Source organism: Homo sapiens, chromosome X, assembly GCF_000001405.40.
Source record: "Homo sapiens chromosome X, GRCh38.p14 Primary Assembly".
Taxonomy (NCBI): domain Eukaryota; kingdom Metazoa; phylum Chordata; class Mammalia; order Primates; family Hominidae; genus Homo; species Homo sapiens.
Window position 1 is genome coordinate 26,150,714 of NC_000023.11, and position 22,224 is coordinate 26,172,937.

At 42.4% G+C, this 22,224-nt stretch overlaps 1 protein-coding gene and 1 pseudogene across 1 annotated transcript, besides 1 other annotated feature; both read left to right on the forward strand.

Annotated features, from left to right (window-relative positions):
* Positions 8,766 to 9,965: an enhancer, noted in NCBI's record as "MED14-independent group 3 enhancer chrX:26177596-26178795 (GRCh37/hg19 assembly coordinates)". NCBI's record gives its function as "activates an origin of replication core promoter dependent on BRD2, BRD4, P300/CBP and CDK7 cofactors, and independent of MED14, by STARR-seq in HCT116 cells {active_cell/tissue: HCT116}" and the evidence as "EXISTENCE:reporter gene assay evidence [ECO:0000049][PMID:35650434]".
* Positions 9,888 to 11,697, forward strand: MAGEB6B (MAGE family member B6B). Its single transcript, NM_001396029.1, has one exon. It carries the CDS (start codon positions 9,888 to 9,890, stop codon positions 11,109 to 11,111), a length of 1,224 nt encoding a protein of 407 aa, NP_001382958.1. The 3' UTR covers positions 11,112 to 11,697.
* LOC100420245 (MAGE family member B3 pseudogene) lies at positions 19,545 to 20,191 on the forward strand (annotated as a pseudogene).

Below are 22,224 nucleotides of genomic sequence, written 5' to 3' on the forward strand. Positions count from 1 at the left end.
ACCAAAGTAACAAGTCAGAATAGTTGCATGATTGTGGGTTAATAGAATGATACATTTATTTCTCTAAGATCTTATACAAATATATATTGCAGTCAATACTCTTTATAACATTTTACTTTCCTTCTTTACTGGAAATATGGTGGTATTATGTGGAGAGTGACTTTTTTCTTTTTGATTCTCCCCCTTCTGTGTCATTCTTTTAAAATTAGTTTTATTACTTCTAAATGAGCTCTTAACAAAAGATCTGGTTTTACATATGGCCATGGCTTATTCTTTTGGTAAGCTATTTTTCACTGGTTCTATATGTTTAGTTAAACAAATTTCATTATTCTCCATAGCCCAAAGTGATGCATAGATTTATTTCAGCTTAGAGTGCTTTTCCAGCATGGAGTGATACTGCCGTATTCTGCCATACCCTTTGTCTTTCAGAAGGCACATCTTAAAATCAGGTGTCTTTTCTTTTTCCAAGGAGCTCCACAGACACTTCATCCAGTGTATAAAACACAGTAACTTTACATTTGCACAGCAGGTTTCTTAGCTCTATTGCCAACACAGTGACACAGTGAGTGAGTTTAGATTTTTCTCCATTTAGCATTCAGATGAGAACACAGCTCAGCTGATACCTTGAATGCAGACAGGTAAAACTCTAAAGCAGAAACCTCAGTTGAGTTTTGCCTGGACGCTTTATACACAGAAACTGTGAGATAATAAATTTGTTTTTCTTACCTTGCTAAATTGGCGATACTTTGTTATGCAGCAATAGAAAATGAATATAAGAAAAATAGTCTATTATATTTACCCAGATAGTAACTCTTCCTTCTGGTTTTTCTTCATTCTTTATGTTCCAAGTTTCTAAGCCAAAAGTGTTACCTGTAACAGGTACAAATAAGTTCATGAAATATTTGAGTAAGGAGGAGTTGTTCTTATTGTCAAAGTTGAGGATAGCCGGAAGGAAGTATGTAGAATAGAGGTGGAAACCAACCTTGCTCTGGGCTAGGAAGTACCCATGATTGAGGAGGCAAGCAAGACAGCACCCATCCTCCTCCAGTTCCCCTCAGATTATGATCCTTTGGATCAATTTCTGGGTGACTTCTCCACATTTAAGCATAGGCTATCAGCCTAAATTACTTCCCTCTGGAGCCCCAAATACCATTTACATGGTAGAGAGTCCTCATTTAGGCACACTTCCAAGGACAACCTGCCCTGTGTGGTTGTATTGTTTTGCCATTACTTTTAATGGCAAAAGCCACGATTACTTTTGCACCAAACTAATAGTTCACTAGCTAGAGGAAGAGGCCCTCACAATGGGATCATTCTAAGCTGCCTGCCCACTGTGGAATTAACTCAATGTTACTCCCTGCTTTCTGGCCTCTTTTCATTCAGAGTAGTCCTGAAAGCAACAAAGAGAGAGACTCCTCCCTTGCTCCATTAAGTACTCTAAACCTCAATTATGAGCTTCTACAAGAGGGTTTCCCAGCTAAACACAAGAATGTGTAGGATGCCTCCACTTGGACAAAAGAGGGAGAGGGCCATGCTCCAAATTTTTTTTTTAACCTTACATCAGAAATATTCATCCTGTTGAGGAATGAGGTAGGATACTGCTCCTGTCACATGTGGATAAGTTGGCACTGCCTCTAGGTCAGTAACATTTTGGTTCTCTTCAGTGTGTTTGTAATCATTCCTATATCCCTTAGTCACTACTTTTTATAACACTACTGTCAAATTTATACTTATTGGGAAAGCAGAGATCCACAGGTCAGTGGGGAGAATGGTGCTGGTGTGCAGGTAGATGGAATGAACAGATCTTTTGGCCCAGGTAAGCTTTCTCCCAAGCCAGCAACAAGTCTCAACCACTACTCTTTGAAAGTAAAGGTCCATAATGGTATCAGGGACAACAAATGGTATTGAGGGGGGAAAAGGGGAATAATGGAGTTACCATTTATTAGAAAGACTTACCATTTCATCTCTTCCTCTCCAGCTCACATGTTACCCAGCCAGCCCTACTGTTATTCACTTGACTAGTGTCACCAGTCTTTCAGTACATAACTTCCATACGTCCTGCTTGCCCAGTGCTGTTGTCTCCCTAGTTGAGAAAAACATATATGTAAAATTATTTTTATTCTTCTCTACTATTTTGTAAGTTTAAACATTTTCATCATAAAATATTTAAAGTAAGGACTTAATCCCTCCTAGAATGGATTTTTGTATAGTGTGAAGAAGTGTTCCAGACACTTTTTTTCATATTTGTATATCCAGTTGTTCCACTGTCTTATTTTGGTAAAAATACTCTTCTTTATCCACTTCCCTGAAATGACATTTTTAATAATCGAGAATCCAGTCTATTTTAGGACATTCTATTCAGTTCTCCTAGTCTATTTGCTTATCTCTGTAAGTATACCATAAATTTTAAATTACTATAGTATTTTGAAATTTATTTTACTTGGTAAAAGTAATTGTGCATATTTATGAGATACAATGTAATGTTTTGTCTGTGTATACATTGTAGAAAGATTTAATCAAACTAACATAGCCATCATCTCATCAACTTATGTTTTTTGTGGTAAAGACTTTAAAAATCCATTATTTTAGCAATTTTGAAATGTGCGATAATTATGATTAATTGTGGTCACCATGTAGTGCAATTGATTACAAAAACTTACCCCTCCAGTCTAACTGAAACTTTATATTCTTTGATCAACATCTCTCTATTCCCTATCCCCTACACCCCAGTTTCTGGTAACCTTTTACTCTCTGTTTCCATGAGATCTACTTTTTTAGATTGCACATATAAGTAAGATCATATAGTATTTTTCTTTCTGTTCCTAGCTTATTTCAGTTAGCATAATGTCCTCCAAGTCTATCCATGTTGTCATGAATGACGGGATCCCCTTCTTATTTAAGGCTGTATAGTATTCCACTGTGCATATATATATATATACACATACACATATATATGTGTGTGTATATATATATACGTATATATACATATAAATATATAAACATTTTCTTTATCCATTCATCCTTTGAAGGGCACTTACATCACATCCATATCTTGGTTATTGGGAGTAATGCTGAAATGACTGATTTCAATTTCTTTGAATATATACCCAGAAGTAGGATTGCTAGATCATATGGTAATTCTAATTTTAGTTTCGGAGGAACTTCTATACCATTTTCCAAAATGACTGCACTAATTTACATTCCCACCAGCAGTGTAAAAGGATTCCCTTTTCTCCACATCATTGTCAACACTTGCTATCACTTGTCTTTTTTATAAAACCAGTTCTAACAGGTGTGGGGTGATATCTCATACTGGTTTTAATTGGCATTCCCCTATATATTGGCCTATATATTTGGCATTTTTTTCCTATATCATTTGATCACGTGCAGGAGCAGAGTTGAAGCCTTTGATAAAAATTCAACACAATCGAAACAATTGAACTCATGGACATGGGGAGTAGAAGGATGATTACCAGAGTCTGGGTAGGGTAGTGGGAGTTGAAGGGGATGTGGGGATGTGGGGATGTGGGGATGTGGGGATGTGGGGATGTGGGGATGTTTAATGGGCACAAAAACATAGTTAGAAAAAATGAATAATACATATTATTTTATCACACATCAAGGTGACTATAGTCAATAATAACTTATTTGTGTATTTTAAAATAACTAAAAGACTGTAATTGGATTGTTTGTAACACAAAGGATATATGCTTGAGGGGACTGATACCCCATTCTCCATGACATGCTTATTTCACATTGCATGCCTCCATCAAAACATCTCATGTACTCCATAAATATATACACCCACTATGTCCACACAAACATTAAACAATGACTAATACAAATTCAAGACAAGTACATGGCAATAACTTTTAGCACACTTACATATGAATGAAATTTCCATATGGTAAATTGTTGCCAAACCTTTGTAACTTTGAAATTAGAAGCATTCCCAATAAAGTCTGGAAAAACACACAGAGGTATGATACCACAAATCTGGATTGGCATGTGTAGCCAATAAAAAGCCATACATAAAAATACCAAAATAAATAAGAGGTATGAAATGGAAAAAAAATACCATTCACAACACCAACAATACCTAAAACATACTTAAGTTGAAACCTTACTGAAATGTACAAGATCTTTATGGAGGCAATTATAAAAATTTACTGATACAGTTGGGAAAAAGTACCAAATACAGCAGTATTCTATGTTTATTCAGGAAAACAGAATATAGGCACACCTCAGAAATATTGTGGGTTCAGATCCAGACACCACAATGAAGTGAATGTTGCAATAAATGAGTCACAATTTTTTGGTTTCCTGGTCCATAAAAAAGTTATGTCCACACTATACTGTAGCCTATTAAGTTTGCAATTACATGATTTTTTAAAAGTGTACATACCTTAATTTTAAAAATACTTTATTGCTAAAAAATGCTAATGATCATCTGAGCCTTCAGTGAATTGTAACCTTTTTTGCTGGTGGAGGATCATGCCTTAATGTTGATGGCTGCCTATTAATAAGAGTAATGATTGCCAAGGGTTGAGGTGGCTGTGGTAATTTCTCAAAATAAGGCAACAATGTTTTCTTAGTCCATTCTCACACTGCTATACAGATACTAACCGAGACTGGATAATTTGTAAAGGAAAGAGGTTTAATTGACTCACAGTTCCACATGGCTGGGGAGGCCTCGGGAAACTTACAATCATGGTGGAAGGTGAAGGGGAAGCAAGGACCTTCATCACATGGTGGCAGGAAACAGAAGAGCAAGCAGGGGAAATGCCAGATGCTGATAAAACCGTCAGATCTCATGAGAACTCACTCATTATCAAGAGAACAGCATGGGGGAAACCACCCCCATGATCCAATCACCTCCTGCCCTCCACACATGGGGATTACAGGTCCTTCCCTCAACACACAGGAATTACAATTCAAGATGAGATTTGGGTAGGGACACAGAGCCAAACCATATCATTCCACCCCAGCCCCTCCCAAATCTCATGTCTTTTCACATTTCAAAAGCAATCATGCCTTCCCAACAGTCCCCCAAAGCCTTAACTAATTCCAGCATTAACCTGAAAGTCCAAGTCCAAAGTCTCATCTGATACAAGGCAGGTCCCTTCCACGTATGAGCCTGTAAAATCAAAAGCAAGTTAGTTACTTCCAAGATACAACAGGGGTACAGGCATTGGATAAATGCTTCCATTCCAAATGGCCAAAACAAAGGGGCTACAGGCTCCATGCAAGTGTGAAATCCAGTGAGGCAGCCATTAAATCTTAAAGTTTCAAAATGATCTCCTTTGACTCCACGTCTCACATCTGGGGCACACTGATGGAAGGTTGGGCTCCCATGGCCTTGGCCTGCTGCTTTTCCAGGCACATGCTGCAAGCTGTTGGTGGATCGACCATTTTGGAGTCTGGTGGATGGTGCCCTCTTCTCACTGCTCCATTAGGCAGTGCCCAGTAGGGACTCTGTGTGGGGGACCCAACCCCACATTTCCCTTCCGCATTGCCCTAGCAATGGTTCTACATGAGGGTTCCACTCCTGTAGCAAACTTCTGCCTGGACACCCAGGCATTTCCATGCATCTTCTGAAATCTAGGTGGAGGTTCCCAAACCTCATTTCTTGCCTTCAGTGCACCCACAGGGCCAACACCACATGGAAGCTGCCAAGGCCTGGGGCTTGCACCCTCTGAAGCAATGGCCCGAGCTGTACCTTGGCCCCTTTTAGCCATGACTGGAGCAGGGGCAGCTGGGAGACAGGAAAATGAGTCCGGAGGCTGCATAGAGGGGTCCTGGGGCCCGCCCATGAAACCAATTTTTACCTTTTAGCCCTCTGGGCCTGTGATAGGAGGGGCTGCCACAAAGGTCTCCTAAATGCCCTGGAAAAATTTTCCCCATTGTCTTGGCAATTAACATTTGGCTTCTTATTACTTGTGCAAATTTCTGCAGCCGGCTTGAATTTCTTCCCAGAAAGTGGGTTTTTCTTTTCTATTGCATCATCAGGCTACAAATTTTTCAAGCTTTTATGCTCTATCCCATCTTGAACACTTTGCTGCTTAGAAATTTCTTCAGCCAGATGCCCTAATCGTCTCTCTCAGGTTCAAAGTTTCACAGATCTCTAGCACAGAGGCAAAATGCTGCCAGTTGCTTTGCTAAAGCATAGCAAGAGTGATCTTTGTTCCAGTTCCCAATAAGTTCCTCATCTCCTTCTGAGACCACCTCAGCCTGGACTTCATTGTTCACATGACTATCAGCATTTTGGTTAAAACCATTCGACAAGTCTCTAGGAAGTTCCAAACGTTCCCACATCTTCCTGTCTTCTTCTGAGCTCTCCAAACTGTTCCAACCTCTGCCTGTTACCCAGTTCCAATGTTGCTTCCACATTTTCAAGTATCTTTATAGCAGTGCCCCAAACTCCTGGTACTAATTTATTGTATTAGTCTTTTCTCACATGGCTGTAAAATACTACCTGGGACTGGGTAATTTATAAAGAAAAGAGGTTTAATTGACTCACAGTTCCACATGGCTGGGGAGGCCTCAAGAAACTTATGATCATGGTGGAAGGTGAAGGGGAAGCAAGGACCTTCTTCAGATGGTGGCAGGAGAGAGAAGAGCACTTAGGGTAAATGTCAGACACTTATAGAACCATCAGGTGTCATGAGAACTCACTCACTATCATAAGAACACCATGGGGGCAACTGCCCCCATGATCCAATCACTTTCCTCCCTCAACACTTGGATATTACAATTCAAGATGAGATTTGGGTGGGGACACAGAGCCAAACCATATTAAATGAAGTCTGCCACATCGATTGACTCTTCCTTTCACAAAATATTCCCTGTAGCATGCCATGCTGTTTGATAACATTTTACCCGCAGTAGAACATCTTTCAAAACTACAGTCAATCCTCTTGAAACCTGCACCTGCTTTATCAACTAAGTTTTTGTAATATTTAAAATATTTTGTTTTCATTTCAACAATGCTCACAGCATTGTCACAAAGAGTAGATTCAATCTCAAGAAACTACTTTATTAGTTCATACATAAGAAACAACTCCTCATCCATTCAAGTTTTATCATGAGATTACAGCAATTCAGTCACATCTACAAGCACCATTTCTAATTCTAATTCTCTTGCTATTCTACCACATCTGCAGTTACTTCCTCCACTGAAGTCCTGAACCCCTCAAAATCATCCATACGGGTTAGAGTCCATTTCTTCCAAGCTCCTATTATGTTGATATTTTGATATGCACATACTGTTGGAAAGATGGCACTGAATGACTTGCTTGAATCAAGGTTGACGCAAAGCTTCAATCTGTAAGGAAACACAATAACTGCAAAGTGTAATATATCAGATTGTAATAAAATAAGGTATGCCTATATTGCAAAGATATCCATTCTCCTTAGGTTATTTACAGATATAGTTTTTATCTACAGCTTCCAAGATGACAAACAAGCTAGTGCTTCTTTCCCATGCCTAAAATTAACCATGGGAAATCTAAAGAAAAAATAAAGAACAATGTCATAAACATCAGTAAAATAACAGAATGAGAACCCCCTGAGAGACATTAAGTCTCTGTTGAACCAGTGCTTATATGGCGGCATGCCCTGAAGTGAAAACAAGTCCATAGCCTGCAGTAAGAAACAGATGACAGCATTAGTTGCAGGAATTATTTTAAAGTTCTGCCTTTGCTTCTTTATGCGTGCCTGGGACAATTATTTTCTACAGCTTCATTTAAAGAATCTGAGGCAACATCTCAGGCGCCACATGCTGGAATCATGGGGTAATAACCATTAGAACAACACAAACAATTGAGTTTGTTAAAGCAATATGAGTTCAGACATTGTAGTAATAACCACCTAAAACCTCTATAGCGAATGAGGGCTGACTTTTTAAATGATCACTGTAATAGAATATGAAACATATACTAAAATAGAAGGGTCACAGTGAAGCACATGTAATAAGAACATTAATATACTCCTGAAATATTTGATGATGCTGATGTCAGCCAAAAGAAAGCACAGACCAACTGCCATGATAAGGAGTCCCCTTATTTTCTCCTTGTTGATTTTTGAAGGCTATGGTTGGGAGAAGGGGATGAATTCATATCAGAAAAGGGAAAAATCACAAGGCCTGACAGCAGTCAGTGGGTGGACCTTAATTGACTGCTGAAAGGCTGCACATTTCAGAAGAGAGGAGGGCTCAGCATGTCTCCTCCTTTCCCTAACTCCACAGCATAACTAACTGGCTGCAGCTAGGTCTAGGAGGCCCCAGACAGTAGTGGCCAGGTGAATTGCACATGAGGAGTCTCAGGAAGTTGAAGTCTAGTCTGAGAGGGTGTCCTCAAGTCAGTAGAGGGAAGGAACATGGCGCAAGAATGAAGCCACGACACTGAATGAGAGCTGAGGGCAAAGTCCATTCTGGGAGAGGGGGTTCCACAGAGCCCCACCCCTACTGTCAGTCTTGGAAGGTCCTGGCATGGCTTCCCAGCTCCTACTACTTCCCAGCTCAGTACTTCCTACTCAGGACTCTCAGGGAATAAGATCCTCCGTCTCCTGTTGACTGACTCAGCTCAGCAGACAGAGAAGTCCAAGGGTCCACAAAGAGCCCCTGAAAGAATTTTATGTGAGCTTTTCGGCGGCCACCCAGTCCACAGAACACATGGAGAGTGACAGAGCCCCACCCCTGCTGTTATGTTGGGAAGGCCAGGTGGGCATGGCCGGAAGTAGTTCCTCCTGACTTCCGCGTAGAAAAGCGTCCACACCGGAGGCCTTGGTCTGAAAAGTGCTGCGTCAGGTGAGCGGAAGAGGGCATCCCAGATCTTCTCAGGTATCTTATGGGTATCTTGACCTAGAACTCGGGGGACATTCCCCAACAACTGCAACCCCCTACCTCCTAAAATAGGCAGCTCCAGAGAGCCCTGCCCCATCCTGCCCCTAAGATGGTAACTGAGGAGTCCCCAAGCATGGCCGTTAGGCCCAAAGTCCGTTCACTTTTTCTGTGGGGTTGAAGAGCATGAAGTCCTCGGTCCAAGGCTGGTGGACTCAGGTCAGTAGACAGAGAAATCTCAGGCACTACATAGCTAAAAAGAAGACTCTGCTTAAGACTGAGGGGACTCCATGCCCATGCCGCAGCACGGGTTGCACCAAACTACGCCCCTGATGTCAGCCTGGGGGTCCGGGCAGGTCTCTAGAGAGAGGTGTGTTCTCACTTTGTCCCCGTGAGAGTCAGAGAGGTAGGTCCCTGGTTGTAAGAAGATGGCAGCAGGTCAGCGAGGGTGATTTCCAAGTGGTGGGAAGAGTCAGGGTGAGGAGTCTGATTACCGTGGGGGTCATTCTCAATATAACAGCAAGTGCATTCAAATGCCTCCGCTGCTGTCAGCCCTAGGCGGTCTGGGTGTCCCCGGAAAGAAGTGCTGGGCAGGAGCGCTTCTTTATTTCCTCCTCATTGGTACTGTAAAAATTCCTAGTGTCAATTTCAGAGCGGCAGAGGGGAATGGGCCTCTGGGACTTGACAACAATTTTTATGATGATCCAGAATAAAAACGGAGAGGACCCCACCTCTGAACAAAGGGGCCCCCACTGCCAGTCCCTGCTATCACCTCAGTAAGCCCCAAAATGGGCTGTCATGCTATAGTCTAACACTGACTCTTAACTTCCTCCTAAGTTCGAAGGAGACAAACAGACCAAGCGAACAGGAGTCCTGCGAGTTCCTGGAGCAATTGCTTCATGAAACCTCCAGAAGGGCCCCTGGTTAAAGCCAAGATGGTTGCTCTCTGCTGAAGGTGTTGACATGATGTCACTCTCTCCCGTCCAGGTGCCAGCCTTGCCAACCTTTATGCCCACACTCCTACCTGCTGTCATAGGCCACAGCCACCATGCCTCGGGGTCAGAAGAGTAAGCTCCGTGCCCGTGGGAAACGCCGAGAGACCCATGATCAGCCGCAAGGTCTCACAGGTCCCCAGGCCACTGCAGAGAAACAAGAAGAGTCTCGCTCTTCGTCATCCTCTTCTGCTGTTTGTCAGGGTGCTCGTCGTAGGTCTTCTGGTTCCTCCGTTCCTCAGGAGTCTCAGGGAGCTTCACCCACTGGCTATCCTGATGCAGGTGCTTCATGCTCAAAATATGATGTGGCTGCCATGGGTCAAGATGAGAAAAGTCCTAGTACCTCCCGTGATGCCTCCGTTTCTCAAGAGTCTCAGGGAGCTTCACCCATTGGCCCTCCTGATGCAGGTATTTCATGCTCAAAATCTGATGAGGCTGCCAAGGGTCAAAATGAGAAAAGTCCAAGCACCTCCCGTGATGCCTCTGTTCCTCAGGAGTCTCAGGGAGCTTCACCCACTGGCTCGCCTGATGCAGATGTTTCAGGCTCAAAATCTGATGTGGCTGCCAAGGGTCAAGATGAGGAAAGTTTAAGCTCCTCCAAGAGAGCTGCGTTCTTTACAACCACAGACGGAGATCCTATAAAAAGGAAGGCAAACAAGATGGTGCAATTCCTGCAGAAGAAGTTTGAGAAGAAAGAGCCCATTTTGAAGGCAGACATGCTGAAGCGTCTCCGCAGACAGTACAAGCCATGCTTCCCTGAGATCCTCAAGAGAACCTCCGAACATTTGACGGTGTTCTTTGGCGTTGAATTGAAAGAAACGGATTCCAGCGGCGAGTCCTACACCCTTGTCAGCAAGCTGGGTCTCTCCAATGAAGGAAGTCTGAGTGGTGATAATGCGCTGCCGAAGTCGGGTCTCCTGATGTCGATCCTGGGTTTGATCTTCATGAGAGGCAACCGTGCCACTGAAGAGGAGGTCTGGAAGTTCCTGGGTCTGTTGGGGATATATGATGGGATCCTGCATTCAATCTATGGGGATGCTCGGAAGATCATTACTGAAGATTTGGTGCAAGATAAGTACGTGGTTTACCGGCAGGTGTGCAACAGTGATCCTCCATGCTATGAGTTCCTGTGGGGTCCACGAGCCTATGCTGAAACCACCAAGATGAGAGTCCTGCGTGTTTTGGCCGAGATCAATAACACCAGTCCCGGTTTATACCCACATCTGTATGAAGACGCTTTGACAGATGAGGTAGAGAGAGCATTGAGACTGAGAGCTTAAGGCAGGGCTGGCACTGTTCCCTTGGCCAGGGCACCTTATGGGGCCATATCCTACAGATCCTCCCATTTCTAGGGAGGTCTGAAGTAGAATTTTCGCTTTATGTTAGAAGAGAGTAGTGAGCCTTCTAAGTAGTGCAGTATAGTAGAGGCTGGAGGGAACAAGATATGTATTTCTTTTGTCTTGTTATACATGAGTAACTTGTAGATTTATGTTTTACCTCCTTGTCAATTTTCAACATTGTTCCTGTTAAGTGAAGGTTTATTTTGCTTCAGATTATACATTTATCAATAACATAGCTCTCACATTCATGGCCGTTTAATCAATTTGAAAGTTACGGTTTGGGTATTAGTAAAACAAAATCATACACCATTCATATTTTCTTTATAATTCAGAACTAGATAACATGATAATAGAGAAGGGACTTTGATATGAATCTTAAAGAACTCCACAGTAAAATAGTTGACATCATAATATGAAGAGAAAGAAAAGGAAAAACAGAAATGTAAAAATTGTTTAATTCTTGGTTTGCCTAATTCGTTTTCCTATTTCTTTTCATATAAATAAAGGATACCTGGATTTATTTAGGTTATTAAGACTGCCGTTAGTTTGTTTTGTTCTAGTGCACTTCATATTCCATGTTATCTACTGCATCAAAAAACCCCTCTGATTGGAGGGTGGTATTTTCTGGGTTTAAAATAATCACATGAAATGCAGTGATCAATATAAGCCAGAATGAGTTCACTAAAAACCTTTTTGAAACAAGGCTGCTAAATTCAAAGAACTTCCATAGGCTTAAACTGTCTCAAATATTTTCAAGATGTGGTAATTTTGTTTCTTAATATATAGTTAGGAAAATTAAAAATTAATAATTTGTGTAAAAACATATATTATGGTAACTGTCATTTATGAAAGACTCAGTATTTCCTACTTAGTATGCCATATGTTTTATGGACAGTACTTATACCCCAAAATTCCTACAAGATAGGGTTTAGCAGACTCACTTCAAAATGAAGAAATTGCAAATTTCTAAAAGCTCACAAGCTTGTAATTGACAGAGCTGGGATTAGATCTCTGGTCTGGATTCATCTAGAGCCCATATTTTTCCAATCCTCTCAGCCTGAGCCAGACTTTGTGTCTTTTAATCCACTTTTCCTCTCACTGCCCAAAATGCTTACCAGAGCATTAAAAGGACACTGTACCCAAAGCACTTCTTTGGATTCTACAACTAGAGTAATCATAATGCTGAAAAAATGAGTAGTATGAATTACGAAAAGAAAAAAATAATACACAGTGACAATATGATCATCTACATATGCAACATTAGATAACCCAATAAGATCAGGAGCTCCCAAAATCATCCTGCTCTGCCCTTTCCCCATAGAAATTAAATCTCCTCAAAGCAAAGTACATAATAGGCTAAGTCTGGCTGGTGAAGCAAAGGAATAGATCAGGGTGCTTTTTTCACTGACAGCCCACCACCTGTCCTGGGCCTCCTGCCTTGTGGTACAGCTTCCCTATCTCATACAGAACCTGGGACAGTGAGCCATTGTCTGCAAGGTTTGCAGTAGGGAACCTGCTCAAGTGTTTGCAGGTGTATGGCATTTCCCAGCAGTGTTAAAGAGTAAGGAGGCATGATGAGAACCCCCATAAATGAAGATTCTGGAGATCACTGCCTCAGAATATCGGGGTCACAGAAAGACCAGGCCCTGCCTACTCTCAGATCTAGAAGGCCCAAGCTATAGCAGTAAGCTAAAATTTCTCTATTTACTCAAGGTTCTCAGGTACATAAGAGTCCTGGTCTAAGGGTGGTGTGCTCTGGTTATTGGGAGGAGGATCTCAGCCTCTGAAAATGATCAAGATGAGGACTCTGAATGAGAAATGAGGAATTATCCACCCAGAACAGCAGGGGCTCTTAAAGCTATATCTTGCTTTCTGCCTTGGGTGGCCATAGGCAGGGCTATCTGGTTGAGGTTTCCCCTCATTTTCTTTAGGGCTTCTACTGGTGCCCCAGGGAGATAAAGGCTTTGATCTCATGGCAGTAGCTCCGATTCTGCCCACGAAGGAGGTCCTCTCAAGCCTGGATTGGATTTAAGGTGAGGACACTGGGGTAGCCAAGGAGAAGCACCCTGACTTCCCCCTCTGGTTTCTCAGTAAAGGAAAAGCTTTGGCTTCAGGCTGGCAGACTCAGATTAGCAGAGGAAGGAGTTCCACATCCCCAAATCAATGTTAGAAACCTGAGTGAGAACTGAGGGAGCCACTGACTCCAAAACAGTGGAATCTTGTAGGATTCTGACCCTGCTATTATTCTTCAGAGGATCCTCAATAACTGTGGCCAGATGTGCCTGTTCCTCACTTCCAACTGGGAGATTCCAGGAAGATATGGCCTTGGTCTGAGGAGTGAGGCCTTGAGTCAGTGGAGGGTAGAGTTTCAGATTTCATTAGGTAGGAGTCAAGGTAAAGATGCTGAGGGAGGATAGAGGAGACCACTCACCACAGAACAGTGGGAATGCACAGTGTCCTGACCCTAATGTCAGCCCTAGGAGGCCCAGGGCAGAACTCTCAGGCTGAAGTGCCCCCTCAGTTCCTCTGGGAGTGGTCTCAAGGAAGTGAGAGTCTTAGTCTAATGGGAGCAACCCTAGTCAGCAGAGGATGTTTAATAGGAGTCACACTGCTGACCCTAAACAGGGATGACGGTACTCCTCCCAGAACAGGTGGAGCCACACGAAGCCCTGCCATTGATGTCTCTCCCTGGCAAACCCAGGAATTCTGAGATGATGAGTCCCACTCATTTCCTTTCAAGGCATCTCAAGGAGGTAAGGCATCTGGTGTAAGGGGTCAGCCTGAGATTACCACAGGGATAAATTCCAGGTCATGCAAACAGTCAAGCTGAGGACCATGAAGATGGAAGGAACCACTCAAATCATAACAGTACAGACAACGCAGAATCCCTTAGGTACTGTCAGCTGTAGGTGATCATAAGGCTTTCGTGCTCAGATGAGGAAACTCTTACATCCTTCTTGGTAGTATTAGGGAATTAAAGGCTGTACATAAGCAGACAGGCCTCTAGGTCTTGGGAATGTTCATTGTGAGGACCCTGAGCAAGGACTGAGGGGAGCAACCAACCTAGAAGAGACAGGAACCCACATAGCCCCACCCATTTCAGCCCTCGAAATCCCCAGCACGAATAACCCGAATATGTCAGCCACTCACTCCTCTCCCTGGAGGACTCATGTCACTAGAGGGAGGAGTCAGAGATCCTGGCTGAGAAGTCAAGGAGTCACAAACCCCTGAACAGTTGGGTCCCATAGAGTCTTTCTCCTGCTATTAGTTCTCAGAATCCCCTAATAGCTCCAGCGAGGTCACTTTGACTTCCACGTCTGGGGACTCCAGGTGGTGAGGAACTTGGTCTGAGGCTGGCCATCTCATCATAGAGAACATTACCAGGTCGAGCCAGGAGTCAGGGCAAGGACAATGAGGAAGGAGCAGAACATGAAACCTCCTATAACAATGGAGGCAGCACATAATCTCTCCCCTACTGTTAGGCCTGGCAGATTCAGGGATAAATGTCAGGCAGAGCAGAGGCACCCCTCAATTCCCCCTCAGGGTGACAGAGAAATGAGGGCCTTATTCTGAGGGGGATGGTATCAGGCCACGAAAGGGAGAAATTGTGGGCACTGTCACGAGTCAAAATGAAGAATCTGAGCGAGGACTGGTGAGGCCAACCCTCATGAGGCCCAAAAGCGCCTGCCACAGCTTTCTGCCTTGGGAGACTCCAGGCAGGTATGGCCAAATAAGGCTGCCCTCCCTTCCCTCTACTAGGTCTCAGAGAGTTCTGGGCCTTGCTATGAGGAGATGCCTTCAAGTCAAAGAACAGAGGAGCTGCAGGTCCTTCTAGGAGTCAAATTGAGGACCCTTGGTGAAGACTAAGATGATCATACTCCTTCCCCCAATAGAAGGGGCAACATAATGTCCAACCCCCACCCTGGCTTTCAGCATTTGAAAACCCATAGCAGGACTGTCAGGGAGAGGCTTCGCCAATGTTTTACATTGGGTCTAAGGGAGATGAGCTCCTTAGTAAGAAAGTGAAGCCACGATAGAACAGAAGAGGGGGTCCCAGGCCCTACACGGAGTCAATATGAGAACTCTGAATAAGGACTGAGGGTCAGTGATCCCAAGACAGAAAGGATCCCCCAAAGTTGTCACCCCTGTTCAAGTGGGAAGTCAGGAAACAACTGATGACCCAGCTTGAATGAAGTAATGAGGGAGAAATTTTCTCATATTCAAGGAAAAGTTATTGTTTTTGTCATTCAGGCCTTCAACTGATTGAATGAGGCCCATACATATTGGGGAAGGAAATATGCTTTACCCAGTCTACTGATTCAAATGTTAATTTCATCCAAAAATAGCCCTACAGAAACACCCAGAATAATGTGTTTGAGTAAATATTTGGGCACTCCATGGCTCAGGCAAGTTGACATGTAAAATTAACCATCACAATACTAATAATGAACACACATCCTCTAGGTTTTTATTGTTGCTGTTGTTGTTTTTTTAATATTATTCAACCTCTTGCCTGACTCTATTTAGCCTCTGATTTACTTGCTGTTTTTATAACTAGGTGAAAACATTAAAAGTTAAGTATAGGCTATGTCTATTCAACCAACTTGAAATACTCCCTCCAGAAAAAGTTTCAAAGTATATTTTAAGAGCAGAAATTATATTTACAGATCGTCTCCAACTTATGAGGTTCAAGTTATGACTTTTTTGGTTTTACAATGGGTTTATCAGGATGTAACCCCATTGTAAGTGGTATTAAATTCATTTTCAATTGATATTTTTCACTTAGGATTTTTTTGGAATGTAGTCCCATCATAAGTCAAAGAACAACATCTCTGTGTCTAAAACACATGTTCCTTGACATGACTGGATTCAATATTTATATGAAGGACTGCATGCAACTAAACTTTTTATTGTGTCTTTAATCTCGTCACTTGTTATTTATCTGTTCAGGTTTTGAATTTCTTCCTGAATCAAACTTGGTAGGTTGTATGTATCTAGAAATTTGTCCATTTCTCCTAGATTTTGTAATATATCGGCATATAGTTGCTTACAGCTGCCACTAACGATCCTTTCCATTTCTGCAGCATCAGTTGTAATGTCTCCTTACAAGCTGTTTCTTATAAGCTGTTTCTGCTTTATGGAGCATCCCAAGCCCAGTAACCTTGTGATTGTTGCAGACTCATAGAGGTACCGCCTTGATGGTCTTGGACCCAATCCAAGAGAATTCTCTGGATTACCAGGCAGAGACTCTTGTTCTCTTCCCTTAATTTGTCACAGACATACAGAGTCTCTCTCTCTCTCTGTTCTGAGCCACCTAATGCTGCATGTTGAGTGACACAAGCGCCCCTGTGGCCACCACCACTATGATTTCACTGGGTCAGACCTGAAGCCAGCACAGTGCTGGGTCTCACCCAAGGCCTGTGTAACCATTCCCTGGCTACTGCCCATGTTTGCTCAAAGCCTTGGGGTTCTACATTCAGCCTGTGACAAAGCCAACCAGGCCTGTGTCCTTCCTTTCAGGGCAGCAAGGTGCCTCAGGCTCCATGTGGGTACAGCAGTGCTTTCTGGGAGTCAGGGATTAGAGCCAAAAACTTAGAAGTCTACTTCATATTCCATTGTATTGTGGCTGAGCTGGCATTCAAACCACAAGACACAGTTCTTCCCACTCAGCAGTCCCCTTCACAAAGGCAGATTAACCTTACCCCATAGCCACCACCACCCCTGGCCATGAGCTGTACTACCAGACTAACACTGATGTTCTCTTAAGGCCTAAAGACTCTTAAGTCAGTTTGTGGTGAACGTTGCCTGAGCTGGGACTCTTCAGAGCAGTGGTCTCCCGTCTGGCCAAGGGCAGGTCTAGAAATGCTGTACAAGAACCAAGTCCTGGAACTGGGGACCCCAAGAACCTGCTTGGGGCTCCACGCTCTTGTGATGGTGCTGGTACCTAAGGTGCAAGACAAAGTTCCCTTTACTTCTCCCTCTGCTTTTCTCAAGCAGAAGGAGCTTTTCCCCAGCACAGCTGGTAAGGTTCCAAGTCTAACATGAAGCCCACAAGTGTCAGAAGCTCACCATGACCCTCCATGTAGTACCTGGGTATTACTACTGGTTATTCAGGGCTTCAGGGCTCTTCAGTTATCAGGCGACGATTGCTGCCAGGACTGAGTCCTTTCCTTCAAGGCAGCGGGTTCCCTTCTGGCCCAGGGTGTGTCTAGAAATGTCACCTGGGAGCTAAAGCTTGAAACGGGGGCCTCACAACTCTCACCAGTGCCCTGTTCGGCTTTGGCTGAGCTGGTATCCAAGATGCAAGACAAAGCCTTCCCCACTCTTCCTTCTCCTCTCCTCAAGTGGAGGGAAGGGGTTTCTTTTGGAGCTGTGAGCTATGCATCCTGGGTTTAAGTGAGGGGCAATGGCAGCACTCCCTTGGCTGCCCCAGCTGATGTCTGAGTATGTTTTGTGCCCCCCATCCGCTGTCTATGGGCCTAGTTCAGCCCTAGTACTCACCTAAGATTTGCAGTCATTATGGCCTAGACTGCCTTTCAAATTTACCTGGAGACCCAGAGTGCTATAGTCCTCTGTGGCGAGGTTTCCACGCAAGTTTGGACCACTGGGAATGGTGATTCCCTTCTGGCTAGGGCTGGTTTAAATGCTCCCTCTGTGGGAGGGCGTCAGTTGAGTTTGGCCTGGTTTTCCTTTCTGCTCTAACAGAACAGCTGAGTTCAATGCCTCGCAATTGCTGTGTTCCCCCTCCCCCAGCACCGAGAGATGCTCTCTGCACCATGCCACTGCTGCCCAGGGGTAGGCGAGAGCTGGTGTGTCAATGATTCAGGACTATTTTTGCTATCTCTTCAGTGCCTCTTTCAGCGATGTGAAGTTAAAATCAGGTACTATGAGTGCTCACCTGATTTTTGGTCCTTAACAACGTGTTTTTTCTGTGTAGACTGTTGTTAACTTTGTGTCCTTGTGGGAAGGGGGTACAATTGGTGAAGCTTTCTATTCCACCACCTTGCTCTACCTCTCCCTCAATTTTTAGTTTTGATAAGGGACAACTTATGTATGCTTTTTTAAGGATCCAATTTTAGGTCAAAAAATGCTTTGTGGTGGAGGGAAGGAGCGTATCCTGAAGTCGAGGTTGTTCTACAGTCTGCAATAGAAGATGTATGACAAGATCAGTTGGACAAAAGGTTTTCAAAAATTCTGCCCTTGTTTCTCCCCAGTGTGTCTTGGAACATTCATTTCTACTGCTTTCCTATAGGAATCTGAGACAACACTTTAGACTACAGGTTACAGTACCATGCGTTTATATAATGGAGCACAGAAGTTTGCATTGTTGAGGCACTGTGACTCCAGAGGATATACTAATTAACACATGAAACTCCTTTAGAGGTAAGTCTTGGAATTCTTTATTATCTTATAAAGTATAGCTAATGGACTAAAAATAGAATAGTAAATATCAGAATGAATCACACATAGATAAGCTAGGTAATTTTGTGTGGAACTTTTGAGATTATATGTATGTACATATAAACTCCAAATCACTAACACATTTGGTAGATATTTCTTACTATTATACTATATTTGAGGTTAAAAATAAAGGTCCCTGCACTGGAGTATGCAATGTTACATACAACTTGGAAAGATCAGGGGCTTACAAAATCTTCCAGTTCTGCCTCTTCCCTGTAGAAATATATATTTTTTGAACACAGGATTCATAGAGAAGTCTGACTGGTCAAGAGAAAGAATAGGTCAGTGTGTTTTTTTTCTCTGACAGTCCTCCTATCCTGTGCTTTATGCCTTTGGTGCAGCTTCCCTATTTCACATCTACAGTGAGACCCTGACTTATTCTTTATAAGGTATGCAGTTGGGCAAAAGCTCAGAGCTTGCAGGAAGGTGTTATTACCAGAGAGCCTTTGATCAAAAAACAAGGATCCCACATGAAGACCTGCGTGAGAGAAGACTGAGGTGACCACAAATTTCAGAACATAAAGATTAACACATTCTTACCTCTGCTTTCAGCCCTGAGAGACACCAGGCAGCTGTGTCTCACATATTTGCCTGAGGTGGTACCCAGAATCTAGGGAAGGTGGGGAAAACCATAGGCCACTGCAGTAGAAGGATTATTTTTCTGAGTATTCTTCAGACTTTGCTGGCTGTTAGGACACACAGCTCTCCCTAGGCCCCTCGGATCACCCCATTCACCATGAATAGTGCTGTAAATGTTTTGTGTACAAAGACTGATGAAGGGGTGAACAGCCACGAGGATGAAAATCCAAGCATTTCACAAGCACCACCTGCCCCTGAAAACTCATGCAAATACCTTCTAACCAAAGAGGTGGCTTTGTTTATGCACAACTGCATATGTTTACTTTGTTCAAATATAAAATTAGACTTTTATCATGAAAGCACACATTCTAAAAAATGTCAGCAAAAATTATAAGGACCACATCTCCATAATCCAATGGAGAGCCTCTGACATGTGGAGTTGCTCATTGGCTTTGACTCAACGGATTTTAACTCTATGAAGCATCTCTATACCCTTGTCAGCAAATTGGAACTCATCAATGATGGGAGTTGGAGTGCTGGTAGGGGTTGCCAAAGAGCAGATTGTTGATGATTCTTCTTAGTGTGACCTTCATGAAGAGCACCTGCACCACTAAAGAGAAGGTCTGAGAGTTTCTAAATATGATAAATATATATGCTGGGACAAAGCATTTCATCGGTAGGTACTTCAGAAAGCTCATCACCAGAAATTTTACATAGGAAAGGTACCTGGAGTACCAGCAAGTTCCCAGTAGTGATCCTACATGCTATAAATTCCTGTGGTATCCAGGAGCTCACGGTTAAATCAGCAAGAATAAAGGTCCTAAAATTTTTGTCTAAGGCCAATGATATGTCACTGTTTCTTTCTATTCCTGTGTGAAAAGTCATTCTGAGATGAGTAAAAGAGAGCCCAAGCCAGTGTTGCAGCCAGGATTGGCACTATCATTATGGCCAGGGCATGTTCCAGGGCCATGTACAACAGCCTTTTACACCCCTAGTAAAGTCTGAGGTAGGTTCTTCTATTTCCAATTGAATAGAGCAAACAACTTTCAAGTAGTAGAGGCCATTTTGGGGCAGGAGGAAACACACTGTACATGCATCATTTTTGTATTTTGTTTTACCAAATAACAAAGATTTTCCTTCCTTCCTTCCTTCCATTATCTTGTTCTTTCTTAACTCTTTCCTTTTTTCTTAATTCTCTTTCTTTTCAGTTAATTTCTAAATGTTATTTTTTAAATCAAAGGTTTAAATTGCTTCAGAATATAAGTTTATGAATTGTCACTTGGATTATACATTTATTGCTGTGTATTAGGTCTAAGGGTAGGAACTAAGCTATTTTGAGAAAAAAGGAAAATCTTCTATTTTACTTCATGATCTGAAACAAGATAATGTGGCAATCAATTAAGTGTTTCATTGGAAATATGAAATAACAGTAAAATTGTTTGAATCAAGAAATGGAGACAAATGAAGTGGAAGATGTTCAACTTTTAGATTCTCTAAATTTTCAGTGTATTGTTCTTTAAAATTTACATATACATACATACATACATAAATTTACTTAGCTTATTCAAGAATGCAGGAGAAATTAAATATTAATAAATATAGACAGATCAAGGCCCCTGGTTTGCAGATGGCTGTCTTCTCGTGGTATCCTCACATGGCAGAGAGAGAGAAAGCAAGCTTCCTCATGTATTTTTATAAGTGCACTAATTCCATTCACAAGGGCTCCACCCTCATGGCCTAATTACTATTCAAAGACCTTGACTCTTAATACCATCATATTGGAAGTTAGGATTTCAACACACAGATTTTAGACTGACGCAAACATTCAGTATATAACAATGCTAATTGGCTCATTTATTCTCTAAATATTAATTGAATATCCACTTTTTGGAAAACACCATGTTATTGTTGGAGATCCTAGGATTTCTGTTATAGGAGCAGTAGAAGTTGGTGGCATCTAATGGTAGTCAGGTGGGATGATTTAAAAGAAGGAATGAGAAGGTGGGAATCAAGGCAAGAACAATTAAGTGTAAGCGTCTTGAGATAAGTCTGTTTGGGTACTTGAGAAACAGTATTTCTTCAGTGGTACTGATGTTTAGGTTTCTCCCTGTGGTTAGTGAGGTAAGGCTCTGGGAGTGACGAACTGGCACCAGGGCCTCAAATGGTGTGTCTCAGGGTCAAGAGATTAAAACTTAGAATGCAAAATGGCTCTAGCAATTATTCTTGAATCCTGGATAAACTAAAGCAAAATTTTCCAGACAGAAGTAAGATAGGCGTTCCCTGTACTTGACTCAGTGTATTTGATCGCAGTTTGGTAAATAATTGTTCTGCATACTAAACTGCAAACATATGCTACCTTCCATTAAAAAAGAAAGGTGAAACAGAAGGTACAACCAAGAACCCACAGGATGGAGCCACTATCCAAGAAAATTATTCTTAGGCTTTGAAATCTAATCAAGGAACAGACAACCTTTGTTCATTGGGATTTCAGAACTGCTATTTTCTAGATACTTTTTGTACCTCCAATTCTGCCTGTTTTTACATAAGCATGTTGATAGCTGTTATCCTATGCATATCTCATCATTGTACATTGGGTGTGTTGACAGACAACTTGTTTCTTTTGTTACAGAAATCTACATATAAAGGTGTATCTTGCCCAACTGCTGTACTTAACAACTACCCCAGAGCCTCTTCATCTACAGATGGACCTGATTTAGATAGTGCAATTTGAATTTGGAGCTGATGCTGTAATGAGAACAGAGTTTTGGGGATCTTTGGAAGGGATGTATGTATTTTGCATAAGGTAGAGACAGGAAACAATGGGTTCTACAGGGCAGACTGCAACAGAAAAAAAACCTTATGGGTCCCCAGAAAGTCCCACCTTCTGGTGGTCATGACTTGTGTACTCCTAACTTTAATGTAGGTGGGGCATATGATTTTATGCTAAAAAATAGATTATGACAAAGGTGATGGGATATCACTCAAGCAATTACATTAGAAGTCAGAGTAGAGA

Coding starts and splice junctions, on each gene's coding strand:
- MAGEB6B (NM_001396029.1), top strand. CDS start 9,888: ATGCCTCGGGGTCAGAAGAGTAAGCTCCGTGCCCGTGGGAAACGCCGA.